Source organism: Homo sapiens, chromosome 11 (genome assembly GCF_000001405.40).
Source record: "Homo sapiens chromosome 11, GRCh38.p14 Primary Assembly".
Lineage (NCBI taxonomy): Eukaryota > Metazoa > Chordata > Mammalia > Primates > Hominidae > Homo > Homo sapiens.
In genome coordinates, this window is record NC_000011.10 from 13,681,360 (window position 1) to 13,696,307 (window position 14,948).

General features: G+C 36.7%; 1 protein-coding gene and 1 pseudogene across 11 annotated transcripts in view; one reads left to right on the forward strand and one right to left on the reverse strand.

The window, feature by feature from the left end:
• FAR1 (fatty acyl-CoA reductase 1) overlaps positions 1 to 14,948 on the forward strand; it is a 63,679-nt gene that overhangs the window by 12,692 nt on the left and 36,039 nt on the right. For all 11 annotated transcript variants that reach the window (NM_001441242.1, NM_001441245.1, NM_032228.6 and 8 more), the window contains exon 2: positions 13,400 to 13,595. In NM_001441242.1, coding sequence (NP_001428171.1) covers positions 13,407 to 13,595 — 189 coding nt within the window. In that variant the 5' untranslated portion in view covers positions 13,400 to 13,406. The remainder of the gene's footprint in view (positions 1 to 13,399; positions 13,596 to 14,948) is intronic.
• RPL39P26 (ribosomal protein L39 pseudogene 26) lies at positions 3,943 to 4,345 on the reverse strand (annotated as a pseudogene).

Genomic DNA, 14,948 nt, shown 5'->3' on the forward strand with positions numbered 1-14,948 from the left:
CAGACTGTATTTTCTAAGGATGGTTGCAACAGTATTTTCCATCGCACATGTGTGAGCTTGTACAGACCCTAACTGTTCTCTCATTCTGAGGTGGGATTTAAGTCCCTTGAATTTGGGCAGTCTTGTAAATCACTTGTAGCCAATAGAATGTGGCAGAAAATTACACTGTATGACTTCCAAGGCTAGGTCAGAAAAGGTGAGAGAGCTTTTGCCTAGCTCACAAGAATACTGGTCTTTAAGCCATTAGCAGCTTTGTAAGTATCTGACTATTCTGAGGTCCCCATGCTATAAGGAAGCCCAAACTATCTCATGGGGAAAATCGAAGAGGCTAAAGTCCGGAGCTAGAACTGCTCAGCCAGAATTGCTTAGCTGAGCCCTTTACAAATTCCTAACTCATAAAAATTGTGGAAGAAAATAAAATGGTGGTTGTTTTAAAACACTAAGTTTTAGAGTGATTTTGTTATGTAGTGATAGGTAGCCAGAATACTCCATTCCATACTACTTTCCCATCCATACTTTTAAATTCTGTGCTTTTTTATTATTATTATTATATCAAGTTTTTGAACAAAGTAGTGGGCAAGAGTTTCTCTGAGTTTGTGACAGGATTATGTTATGTGCTCTTCTTCACTTGTAGTCTTTTCTGCAAAATAATACAACCCAAGCCTCATCCCTGCATATCTTAATGGGCTTTCCTTTTAGAAATACAGATTTTTAAAAATATATATCTTGAAAAAGGCTATAGGTCATGTCATCCTTTTGCATTCAGCCTCTGGCATATCTGTATTTCTGAAGCCTGGCATTAATGTGTTGTTTTGTTCATGAAGATATTATTGTATCAAACAAGCATTTGTTGGCCATTTTACAGTGTGTCAGTAACAATAGTAGTAGTGAAATCATAGACAACGAATATTTAGACTGTACTGCTTTCCCATTGATGTCTTTCTCATTTATACTTCATTTTTCTGAATGTTTGTGGAATATTGGAAATCATTGTTTAAAACAGAGGTTGGCAAACTATGGCCTGCAAACTGTCTTCCTGTTTTTTTAAAGTTTTATTGGAACACAGCCACACCCATTCATTTATTTATTATCCATGGCTGCTTTTCTGGTACAGTGGCAGAGCTGAGAAGTTGTTGCTGAGATTGTATGGTTCACAAAGTGGAAAATACTTGTTACTTGGCCCTTTACAGAAACCTTTGCCAGCTCCTGGTTTAGACTGTTTCTTAGAAGTTGATTATCCTTTTTACTTTTTTAGTTTTTTACTTTTGAGGCAGGGTCTCACTCTGTCACCCAGGCTGGAGTGCAGTGGCACAATTATGGCTAACTGTAGTCTCAACCTCCTGGGCTCAAGTGATCCTTCCACCTCAGCCTCTCAAGTAGCTAGAATCACAGGTGTGCACCACTACAACTGGCTTATTTTTGTATTTTTTTTTTTCAAGGTGGGGTTTTGCCTTGTTGCCAAGGCTGGTCTCAAACTCACGGGCTCAAGCAATCTGCCCACCTTGGCCTCTCACAGTGCCGGGATTACAGGCATGAGCCACTGCACTCAGCCAGTTCCCCCTTTTAAAGGGACATTTATTTGAAGTTATTTTTTCTTCTACTTTTAAAGACATGCAATCTAATGAATATTAAAAGATTATTTAACGTAACTTTCTATCTGCTGCTTGAATTTCTTTCAGTACTCCTACCATATGATCTTCCAGCTGAAAGGGATAAGATAATGAGATAAGCAGAATTAATTAAATAATGACAGCTGGGAGTGGTGGCTCACGCCTGTAATCCCAGCACTTTGGGAGGCTGAGGCAGGTGGATTTTTTGAGGTCAGGAGTTGGAGACCAGCCTGGCCAACATGGTGAAACCTCATCTCTACTAAAAATACAAAAATTAGCTGGACGTGGTGGTGGGTGCCTGTAATCCCAGCTACTTGGGTGGTTGAGGTAGGAGAATTGCTTGAACCTGGGAGGTGGAGGTTGCAGTGAGCCGAGATCACACCACTGCACTCCAGCCTGGCTGACAGAACAAGACTCCATCTCAAAAAAAAAAAGACAAAGCAGCATTGGATATGGGTGTGTTAAACACAGAAATTGCACCTGATTGGGAGTAAAAAAAACATAGATGAAATACTAATATTTTGTTATTTGTCCATTTGCTCAAAACTGTCTCTTCATTGGTAAGTTTTTTGTTTTTTTTTAACAATTTTTCATAGAGATGGGGTCTAGCGATGTTGCCCAGGCTGGTCTCGAACTCCTGGCCTCAAGTGATCCTCCTGCCTGGGCTCCCAAAGTGCTGGGATCACAGGTGTGAACAACTGTGCTTAGCTTCATTGGTAGGTTTTGACTTTGAATTTGTTTACTTGCAGAAGGCACAGAAGAGCCAATTTTAATAGAAAAAACACGTAAATGGGCTGGACTTCCAGGTATAGCTATAGGTGGTAGAAATTTTTAGGTAGCTGGATTTAATGGTTAGATATTCAATTTGAGACTTTCCATTGCAGTACTTAGTTTCCCTAAATAAATGTGTAGCAGCTAAAACATGGAACTAAAAGTCCTTACAAATATACCTGTTGTGAGTTACTGGGTTTGTACAATAAATGATGATACAGAAAGATGCATACAAGTAGAGCCAGTCTAGACTTGACTGCAGTACTATATTGTGTATTGTACTATATTTGTATATTCTATGTACTTTATTGCTTTGTGAACATGGTGAACATTGTGAATGAGGTGAATCTCACAGGAGATAGAAGAAGGTACATCCATTTCCAAGATCAACATTATCTCGAGAGGGAAAGTAATTTTTCACATTCCATTCAGGAAATCCATCCTGTTAGAGTCCCGTTAATTATTTGTTTCATACATAAGTAACCATCTAATGTTTTTAATACATTTTCCATCTAATAAAGAAATGGAATGAATTTAAGTAATAAAGATTAGTAAAAGAAGGAAAACATAGGTTGAGCATCACATTAAAAATTTTTAGACTATTTCTGAAATATTACAGATCAGACTGACAGCTGAAGGACCATACTGAGAATCATTACCATAGAAGTAAAGGGAAGATGCATAAGGAAATGTAATTGTGTGCCCAGTCTTTTGTGTTTATTTTCACAAAAATGCTATAAGGTGGAGTTGGGTGGGTTGGATGTTTTATCTGTATTTTAAAGATAAAGAAACTGCAGACCCAAACAGGTAAGCAAGCTCAACAGCAAGGTAAACAGGTGAGTTTAGATTCTAACCTAAACCTGCTAGACTTGGAGTCCCAGGGATTTCTATTGTGTCTTGGTGCTGGATTATCTGAAAGGCTTGTTTCTATAAAGGGCCTACCTTATTTAGGAAGGAGCAGTTTATAAGCTGGGCCTCATTTCATTCAGTATTGAAAATGTTTTCACTAAACATTTAGTTTCCTAATAGCTCACTAGTCTGTGTACTTTATTGCTTTGTGAACATGGTGACCATTCAAGTTTAAGGCATTTAAGTTACAGTATATATTTTCAAACTGAAGTGATCCATAGGATTACCTTGGTATAGGAATTTGTAGAAACATGTTTGAATGTATTATTAGTCTTAAGCAAGACCGCAAATCTTCTTGTTTTCTACCTTACCTTATTAACTCTACTGCCTTGGGGGTTTTTTGTTTCTAATATTTCAATAAAAGATTCTATCTAGGTAAGATCTCTCTGTGGATCAGGTAGGGTGGAGTTGGAAATAAAGCCACTGATCTTTGATATGTGCGTCTTACCTGAAAATGATGTCTTTTTATTCAAATTGATAGTGACAATAATTAAATCCACCTAGAAGATGGTCTTCTGAGTAGTGTTCTAAGGTTGACAGTAGACTTTTCTCCCTCTTGTTTTGGCTGCCTCTGGAAATGGCCCTCAGGGAAATCCTGGTAAAGTCTAATTGCCTTTAGATTTTAACTACCTGATTTTTTTTTTTTTGTTTTTTGAAATGCAAGATCTCACATATTTATTATTGAACCCAGCCAACTGGCACCTTCATAGCACATACAGAGAGAAAAAATATATTCCCAATAAGACGTGTCCAACTGTCCAGATAGTGGTGACATTTTCAGCTTGATATGGTAACATGGTTGTGATCTTGACATAGCATAAGTATGTGTGCCATCTCATGTGCAATTCTTTATAGACCCAGTCTGGTTCTTCTCCAGTGTTTCCTTTTGGAGTTGTACCTGATTTTATTACCAGTTTTCATCTAAATCCACTGGGAGTGGGACAATTTTTTGCTTTTGTTTCTTGGCCAGGAAACACTTAATCCGGAAACTCTTGTGAGAAGACATGGTGAGAAGCCAAGTCGAGCACACACAATGATGGTGGAGAAAGGAAGAGAGAGCCTGAATTTTTTAACAGTAAAATTTCTATACTGAGTTGCTAGTTTGGCCCATCAACTTTTAATGCAATGATGTGGAATTTTTAAGGATTCTCAGCAAGAGGTTGTCTTATTTCATATGTTAAAATTTTCTGTGGAGCAGATTTTTGTCCATTGTATGCAGTTAGTAAAAGCTGAGGCCTTGTAGTGGAGACTGCTGTTGTTTCCTCCTGTCGTGAGTCATACAACTTTAGAACTGGGTAGGACCTTTCAGATCATCTATTTTAACCCCTTCACTTTCTCTGAACTTCTCTTCTAGCGCTGTGCACTCAATTCTCATTCATGATGTGATGCCTTGACCTCGCTGAAGGACAAGTAGAAACTTTATGTGCCTTCTCTAAAAGTGGGATTTAGTTAGAAGATTTGGTTCCAATTTCACCCTACCCGTATAGACGTGCTGAGGGACCTCAGGCAAGAAAAGTTATTAAGGAGACTTTTGGAAAATAGTATCTGAAGGCATGAGAGAGAGACAGTTTGTGCTAAATAAATTTTTCTTTCCCTTTCTTCCCTTAACTATGTATTTTTCTCCTCACTGGTGAGTCTTCTTTAAAACTTCATTCTTATTCTACCTGGCTGACCCATGGAATTTCCTCTCATTTCCTTTCCGCATACCCCACTTCTTATATATTTGTTCATAATTTGTCTTACTGCTTAGCAAGTATCTGAAATAATCAGCTAACATTATGTTAAAAGTTTTAATTAATTTGAGTTGTTTTAAATTCTAATACAGAAAAAGGAATTCTCATTTCTCGGCACCAAAAAGCTGCCGTTTAAAAAAAAGTGGTAATTTTTTGTGCTTTTTAAAAAATGACTAGTCAAGTGCAATAGTGAGAAGAAGGGAACAAGTAGAGCAAAGAGTTCAGTCTATAACTGTGAACAATCAGTTGTGATAATTCACTATCTTCGGACCAGCTTTACACTTTTCTGATTATTGGAATACTCCAATCTCTCCTTTTAATTGTTTTATCTGTTTAAAAAAAACTCTTTTAAAAAGTTGAAGATGAGAGGATCTTGTCTTTAATTATCCAGAAGTTTCTAAAATTAATGAAACAACATGATTAGCCTTCCATTAATATTAGGGCATTTATTAAGAGAATACAATCATGTTACAAAAGTGCAGGTTTATATTGAGTGGGGTGTTACCTTAGAAGTTCTCTGTGATTCTCCATTTGTGGTCATTTCAGGCTCTTTTGGCCCATGAGACCTGCGTGTTCTTTTGCAAATGAGGAAACAGGTTCAGAGTAGTAGCTTTATCTTAGGATCTCATAGCTGCTAAATTGCAGAGTTTGGACTTGAACTCCTAGCAAGTAAATATATCTTAAGTAGCTTTGTATTATGTTTCTCTTAGTGCATTTATAAATGCAAATATGTGATAATTTTTTTTACAGCCACTAGGAAAACCCACTTTGTAAGTAAGCCTAAGTGAATTCCTTGAAAATAATGGTGATACATGGTACTCAGCATTTTGCTGATCTTCAGAAAGATTGCTTCTTTAACTTGAGTCAAAAGATAAGGTGTGTTTTGAACAAAATAGCTAGCTACGACTGCTAGGTGCTATTTCCTAAAGCAGCTCAAGAACAGTGAAAATAAATGTAAATTACCTTTCACAGTCCTGTCGTCCCCTTCCCCAAGTGTGTGGGAATGCTAATGCTGCAGCTTTTCTCATATTGCAGTGGTGCAGCTACTTTTCAACAGATGACAGGCGCTTGTAGATATCTTGCTGTGTAGCAGGAATCTGAACAGCATGCTCTGGAAGGATTGTCAGCATTCCTTTCATGGCTTTTGCTTTTCTAGTTGCTTCTGGCCACTCTGGCAGGACTGTGGAAGATAGGACAAGTCTGAACTTCCCTTAAAAGAACTCTCATTTTTATTGGCTTTGCCAATAAGTTTGTAGGGTGAAGTGTATTGGTTGAATGGGGAAGCCAAGAATACATTTCTTTTCAAATTAGTGCGGCTTTCCTTTGAGCCAGAGGCAGAGTTTAAAAATATTTAGTGCTTGTCATATACACCATGGAATACTATGCAGCCATAAAAAATGATGAGTTCATGTCCTTTGTAGGGACATGGATGAAGCTGGAAACCATCATTCTCAGCAAACTATCGCAAGGACAAAAAACCAAACACCGCATGCTCTCATAGGTGGGAATTGAACAATGAGAACACATGGACACAGGAAGGGGAACATCACACACCGGGGACTGTTGTGGGGTGGGGGGAGGGGGGAGGGATAGCATTAGGAGATATACCTAATCCTAAATGACGAGTTAATGGGTGCAGCACACCAACATGGCACATGTATACATATGTAACAAACCTGCACATTGTGCACATATACCCTAAAACTTAAAGTATAATAATAATAAAATTAAAAAAATTTGAAAATAAATATCAAAATGCACAATAAGAAAATAAAATGAGTCTCTTGTTGGCAGCAAAAAAAAATATATATTTAGTGCTTGTGAAGTTTTTGGTGGCATTATGCTAAGTTGTGGGAATTGTTTTTTTTTCCCCTAGGAGGAAAATTGTGTAAGTCATTATAGTAGTATAAAATCACTTGTTAATAGCTTTGAAAGAAGCCGCTTCATTCTACAACTCTCTTAGCAAGCAATCTTTATTCTGTTAGGCTTGAGGAGAATTAAGCCTAACAGAATATTTATTTTCTGCTATTTGGTGGTGACAGATTAGCTGTTTAGGCTTTGGTAGGGCAGATGTCTTGATAACTGAAGGAAGTACATCATTCTGGGTTTTTTTTAGGGTTGAACTCATCCCAGGCTCTAATTTCTCAATTGTTAGAGGGAAAACTGCTTAATATCTTTCCCTGTCTTACATGCATATGTACACCTATGGAAAACTTTCTGGTGCCTGGTACCTAGTAGGCCCTTAATAAATATTTGTTGAATAAATTTTTACATAAGAAAAAAATAAAGCTCAAAGAATTAGCTGATCTAGGTATGTTCTCAGTATACTATTTAATATATATTGAGTATGTAATTGTCATTAATACCTACTTGTTAGGAAGTATATTGATGCAGAATTATTCTTCATATCTCCCATATGAGGTTATTGACATCAAACCGTTTTATTTATTTATTTTTTTTAAGAGATGGGGTCTTCTGTGTTGCCCAGGCTGACCTTGAACTCCTGGGCTCAAGTGATCCCTCTGTCTCAGCCTTCAAGAGTAGCTGGGACCATTCATTTGAACTTCAATGCTCTGTAGTTTTAATTAGGCTTTTTGTCACTGAAATCTTGAAATAGTCTCAAACCTGAAGTAGATTATAATGAAAGTAACCATATAATTTATTGTGCAAACTGAGACACTTCTGAGAAATCAATCAAAATTAAGTTGGAGCAGCATGTATAAACCAGGCTTGTTCTAGGCAAACTAGGACATATGATCCCTGTTTGTTTTTATTTTTCAAAGTAAATGTTTTATCGAAATATAATAAATTCAGAAAGTCCATATATTCGAAGTGGACAGCTTGATGAATTTTTAAAAAATGAGCCTCCCAGATCAAGAAATAGAAATAGAACATCACCAGAATCCCAGAAGTCTCCTTCATGTTACCTTCTGGTCACTCCCTCTTCTTCCCTGCAAGACTTTTGGCCGTAGATGTTTTGCCTAGTTTGAACTTTATATAAATGGCATCATATAGTAGTACACACTTTTTTACCTGGCCTTACTAGCTCAACGCTCCCTTTGTGAGATCCCTCCACATGTGTTTTAGCGATCGTTCCTTCATTTTTATTGTTTTTAAATATTTCATCATATGCATATACCACACTGTATATGTTATATTGTTGATGAACACTTGGGTTTTATTTTGGGCCAACAAAAATGGTGCTGTTATAACCATACTTGCTTGTTCTTTTGATGAACATATGTACTTATTTCTATTGGGTATATAATCAAGAGTGGAATTGCTAGGTCCTATGATATGTGAATGTTCAGCTTTAGTGGGTAGTACCATCTCCTAAGTATCATATCAACCTGTACTTCCTCCAGCAGTAAGATGAGAGTTCCAGTTATTGTGCACCCTTATTCTGAGGGTCAGTGTAGTGGGATCACATAGGGGTTTTAACTTGATAACTAATGAAGTTGAGCCCCTTTTCATGTGCTGTCATTTCGATCTTTTTTTTTTTTTTTTTTTTGAGTTAGAGTCTTGCTCTGTCGGCCAGGCTGGAGTGCAGTGGCACGGTCTTGGCTCACTGCAACCTCCGTATCCCGGGCTCAAGCAATTCTCCTGCCTCAGCCTCCCAAGTCGCTGGGATTAAAGGCGTGTGCCACCACGCCCGACTAATTTTTGTATTTTTAGTAGAGACGGGGTTTCACCATGTTGGCCAGGCTGGTCTCTGAACTCCTGACCTCAGGTAATCTGCCCGCCTCAGCCTCCCAAAGTGCTGGGATTACAGGTGTGAACCACCGCGCCTGGCCCAATCCTTTTTTGTAATGCCCATTTGTATACTTTCTTTTCTTGTTTGTTCAAGCCTTTCCCATTTTTCTATTGGTTTATCTCTCATTGATTTGGAATTTACATATTTATGTATTCTAGATATTAATGTTTTCATTATATATATATTACAAATATCTTTTACTCTGGTTTGCCTTTTCTCTTTATTGTTAATGTCTTGGGATAAACTTCATTTTAGTTTTGTCCAGTTTAGCAATATTTTCCTTTTTATGTTCTGTTTAAGAAATGACTGCATGAAAGTCATGGAAATGGTCCTCCTCTGTAATCTTGTAGAAGCATAATTGTTTTACCTTTCACATTTAGATCTCCAGTTTATCTGAATTTCTGTGTATAGTGTGAGATAGAGTTCAAAATTTCATTTTTTCTATATGGATAATTGACTCTGCACCATTCTCTTCTTGTCCCAATACCACATTCCTGTAGCTTTATAATACATCTCAATATATGGTAATGTAAGTTCTCCATCTTTGTTATTTATGTTTGTCTTGGCTAATCTTGGCCCTTTGTATTTCCATAAACATTTTAAAGTCTCAGTTTCCATATTAAAAAAACAGCGTAGATTTTGATTGGGATTATATTGACTTTAAGGATGGTAAATTGACATCTTCAGTCTTCCAATCTAGGAATATAGTATATGTCTCCACTTATTTAGGTGTTGTTTAATTTCTGTCAGTATTTAGTAGGTTTTAGAATAGAGGTCTTATATATCTTTTCTATCCTTTTCCAATTCTTGATGGTTTTTTAAAAAATAATTTATTGAGATGAGATTCACATAATATAAAATAACCATTTGTGTCTGTTTTGTGCTGCTATAACAAAATATCTTAGACTGGGTAATCTATAAAGAACAGAAATTTATTTCTCACCATTCTGGAGGCTGGGAAGTTCAAGATCAAAATGTACCAATTGTTTTGGTTGTCTGATGAGAGCTGCTCCCTGCTTCTAAGATGGCACGTTGTTGAACCCTCTATGGGAAAGGAATGTTGTGTCCTCACCTGGCAGAAGGCAGAAAGAAAAGCAAGAGAGCAAACTAGCACAATGTTGAGTGAAGCCACTTTTATGAGGCCCTTAATCCCATTGATGAGGAAGGAGCCCTCCTGCCCTTATCTCCTCTTAAAGAACCCTTCTCTTAATAGTATCACATTGGCAAAATCTGAATTTTGGAGGGGACACATTCAAATCATAGCACCATTTAAGTGAGCAATTCAGTGGCATTTAGTACATTCAGTGTTGTGCAACTGCCACCTCTATCTAGTTCCAAAACATTTCATCATTCGAAAGTAAAACTCCTTAAGCAGTTTCTCTATACTCAACTATTCCCCTATGCCACAGGCACAGGCAACTACCAGTTTGCATTCTGTCTCTGTATATGTATCTGTTATGGATATTTCATATGAAAGGAATCATATAGTATGTGACCTTTTGTGTCTGACTTCTTTCATTTGATATATTTTTGAGGTTCATCCATGTTGTAGTAAGTATCAGAACTTTGTTCTTTTTTATGGCTCAGTAGTATTCCATTGTATGTATAAACCACAATTTGTTTATTCATTTGCTGATTGACATGTGGGCTATTTGTGCCACTTGGCTATCGTGAGCAGTGCTGCTATAGATTGAGTATCCCTAATCCAAAAAATCTGAAATTCAGAATGCTCCAAAATTCAAAACTTTTGACCGGGTGTGGTGGCTCATGCCAGTAATCCTAGCACTTTGGGAGGCCAAAGTGGGTGGATCACTTGAGGTCAGGAGTTCAAGACCAGCCTGGCCAACATGGAGAAACCCCATCTCTACTAAAAATACAAAAATTAGCTGGGCGTGGTGGCGGGCACCTGTAGTCCCAGCTACTCGAAGGCTGAGGCAGGAGACTCACTTGAACCCAGGAGGTAAAGGATGCAGTGAGCCGAGATTGTGTCACTGCACTTCAGCCTGGGTGACAGAGTGAGACTTTCTCCAGAAGGAAAAACTTTTAAGCACCAACATGATGCTCAAAGGAAATGCTTCCAGATTTCATATGTTCAGATTGGGGATGTTCAACCAGTAAGCATAATGCAAATATTCCAAATTTGAAAAAAATCTGAACAATGAAATGCTTCTGGTCCAAAGCATTTCGGATAGGGGATACTTAACCTTACAAACCTGTGTCAACTTGTTTGAGAACCTGTTTTCAGTTTTTTGGTATGTTTACCTAGGAGTGGAATTGCTGGGTCATATGATAATTCTGTTTAACTTTTTAAGGAACTGCCAAACGTTTTTCCACAGCAGCTGAGCTATTTTACAGTCTCACCAACAGTGTATGATTGTTCTGATTTTTGTACGTCTTCACCAACACTTATTTTTTTCTGTAATTTTGGTGTTCTATACTGTTTTAAGTGGTATAATTTTGAGTTTAAAATTTTTCACTATTTCTTATTGGTATACAGAAATACATTTTTTCTCCATATAAACCTTGTAATCAGGTGACATTAAATTCGCTTGGGGGCTATTAATTTTAATAGTCTATTTATTTACTGGATTTTGTACTTACACCTGAATTTCCATTTTCTAAATGCTTTCATATTATTTGTTTCCTTTTTTAGTAATTATATTATGGATGCAGCAGTCTTGTGAACAACTTAGAGAATATAGGAATTTAAGTTTTCTTAAAATTTTTCCTTAGTTTCCTTTGTAGTTCTATTGCTTTTCATTTTGGTCTTTCTTTATTTTGTAGGTATTTTTCAAATATCTGGTGATCCGTGGTTATCTGTTTGTATTTATAATGGAATAGGGTGGTTGGTTTTGGTAGCTGATAGTGGCTTCCTCTAGTTTTTTGAGGTCTGTTTTCTCAAAAGAGCTTTTCCACAGATGGTATGATTGAGAACTCTGCGTGAGTTTCCTTTAAGGTGGGGATATCCAAGCTTTTGGCTTCCCTGGGCCACATTGGAAGAAGAATTATCTTGGGCCACACATAAAATACACTGACACTAACAACAGCTAATGAGCTTAAAAAAAATCACAAAAAAGCTAATGATGTTTTAAGAAAGTTTATGAATTTGTGTTGGGCTGCATTCAAAGCCATCCTGGGCCATGGGTTGGACAAGCTTGCATTAAGGCCGGCAGCAGAGGCTGAGGACTTAAAATGTATTCTGAGCGCTATAAATGCTTTTTTCTTTTGTTTGTTTTTGTTTGCTCTCTCCTGATCCACTGCCTCCTCCACCTTCGTTTGTGGATGTTTGGAGCAACCATCAGGCTCAATTCCAGTTCTCTTTTGTCCCTAGTACCCATGCTGGATGCTCTTCTCAATCAGATCTAGATACTAAGCCTGGGAGCCAAAGTTTATGCAGAAAGTAAGACTGTCATGAGTAGCTCTGCTGTTCTGTGAGCAATCTTTTAATTATCTTGATTTCCTTATGATTTAGTCCAGCTTTTGGATCCTGACCTTGATGTTTTCTCCCAGGTTCCATTTAGGAGATTGGTAAAAAGAGCTCTTGCCTCATTATAGTCCTTTCCTGTCCTTGTTTTGCTTGGGTTGCTGTTTCTTCTGGTATGGCTATTCTACCAATTCAGTCTTATCTGTTTCTTCTAGAAATTCTTCTGTTTCTTTTCTTTCTTCCTTTTTGTTTGACTTGGTTTAATGGAGCTATTTTTTCCAGGTTGTTATGAACATATATTTTTTAATTATGAAAAATTTGGACATAAATCACATGTATCTACTCCCCAGCTTAAATAAAACATAAATACAATTCAAGCTCCTTATTCTCTCTCTGGTTGTATTGCACTCCCTCTCATGCATCTATTAATATTTTTCCATCTGTATGCATTGCTAAACAATACAGAGCATTGTTTTGAATGTGTTAGAGCTTTTTGTAGTGACATAATACATGAATTCTTCTGCACCTTGTTTTTATTTTTTCTTTCATTATGGTTGTTTTCTTAATATGTCTTTTCTGCTGTTTTAGAGGAATTTGGGTAGAGAAGATAAGTCAGCTCATGTATTTCTTACTCTAACTTTTTAAAAGGGGAGATTTAAGCACCTTTTGGATATACTGTCACTAAGAGACACGTAGTAGAAAGGGCTCGGTGTCACCTCTTCTTGTTTCAATTGGTGTTGATACGCGAATATGACACCTCCAGTGTTACACAAGCTAGGTAATTGAGTCTTGCTGCTGACCTGTATTTGGTGTTATAAATCCCTTTGGAGTCAGAGAAACCATTCATTTGTGTTTAGGGTATAACTGAGGTTGAATGAAGATTTGAGTTCTTATTGCTGGAAGGAATTTTTAGACATCCTTTAGTACAAATTGTACCAAAGAAACTCAAGTCCAGAGAACGTGAGTGACTTGTCTGAGGTGATCCAAGGGAAAAACACAGGGTTAAAAATAAGCTATAGTTCTCATTCTTCTTTCCACTTTACTATAATGAACTTGAGGTTAGAGTCCTCTCTTGTTAATGTTCTATTTTGACTTTTGTCTGCTTTTTAAAATACTTATTTGAATACCAAGAGATTTTTAGTATGAAAGAATGATGGTGAATCCTTAAACTAATGCTTATTTGCCATGTTTTTCTTAGGATCAAAATGGTTTCAATCCCAGAATACTATGAAGGCAAGAACGTCCTCCTCACAGGAGCTACCGGTTTTCTAGGGAAGGTGCTTCTGGAAAAGTTGCTGAGGTCTTGTCCTAAGGTGAATTCAGTATATGTTTTGGTGAGGCAGAAAGCTGGACAGACACCACAAGAGCGAGTGGAAGAAGTCCTTAGTGGCAAGGTAAGTATGGAAAATGAGCACTCAGAACAAAGAAAAAAGCGTGTGCTTGTGTATATAATTATTGTAGTCGTCAATAGCTTGGTATATTTCTTCAGTATTCTGAAAAAATTAGTAAAACAAAAAAACTTAGTAAGTTCCTACAGGATGGCAAGAAACTGGATATGACTTGTGAATCACAAGGAGAAAAAGTTTTCCTCTGTGACTGGCAAAATTGTATAACAAGCTCTAAATTACCTTTATGGTAGGTATTTAAAGTATGTTTTTAGAACATTTGAGGCAGGTTGTTTGTAACTACTAAATAATTTAAATAGCCTTGATAATAATAGTAATTAGGTAGTGAGACTACCTACTATTCTGTAAGACACTATGCTTTGATAAAATTTATAAACACCACTTACTCCCCCACAACAGTATTAGGAGGTAGAGAAGTCACATATTCCCATTTAACAGATGACAGAGGGGCCGTATAGAATATAATATGTCATATATTTTGAGCCTTTGGAAAAATATTACTAAGAAAAAATGGAAATGAGCTAGAATAAAATTATTTCACGATCATAAGTTTGTGAATTCTCTCAAAATGAATGAATTTATCTGACATTTACTAATAAATAGTAAGTTGAATCGGAAGGCTATAAGCTCAATTTTGGTACACATAAGGAATCTGACTGCAGGCATATCTCAAAAAGGAATTTCAAGTAGAGCATTTATTTTACAATTAGAATAACACTCATTTGAATATCTACATTCGTATAGGCCTCTTAAAAAATCCTGAAACTGTAGCAAGCCTCTTCATAGCAACCAACCAGACTTTTGACTTTGAATGAACTTCATATACCTTTATAGATAGTTCTTTGGAATTAATTGTCATATCACATCAGCATTTGTTTGACACCATGCAACAGATATTCCTCATTATGTTGGTTTTATTTTTTAATGATGGGATGTAAGATTCTTTCTTAGAAGTTTAAAAATTATTATTATACTTTTAAATTATTCAAATTAGTCTACATTAGTCTCCCTTAATCATTTTTTCTCTCTGATTCTTTGCTGAACCCTTCTGGAATCCTTTGCTTCCCTTAAAACCTACAAGGAAAGAGTCATCAATGGGGCTGTAAAACCACAAGGCTTGTTCTAAGTAAAATGTCTACATGTATGTTTTATTGCTGTCTCTGCCCTTTGTTTACTCATCTTGGCATTTTTATTATGAACCACTTGTAATTGGTATGTTTTAATTTTTCTCCTGATACTCCTCTCCCCCCAGTGAGGGGTTATTTGTTCTTACTCACTTTTTATTTTTTAGATAATATTTATTGTGCCTGCTTAGTCCTGGGCACTTGACTTGTTGTAGGG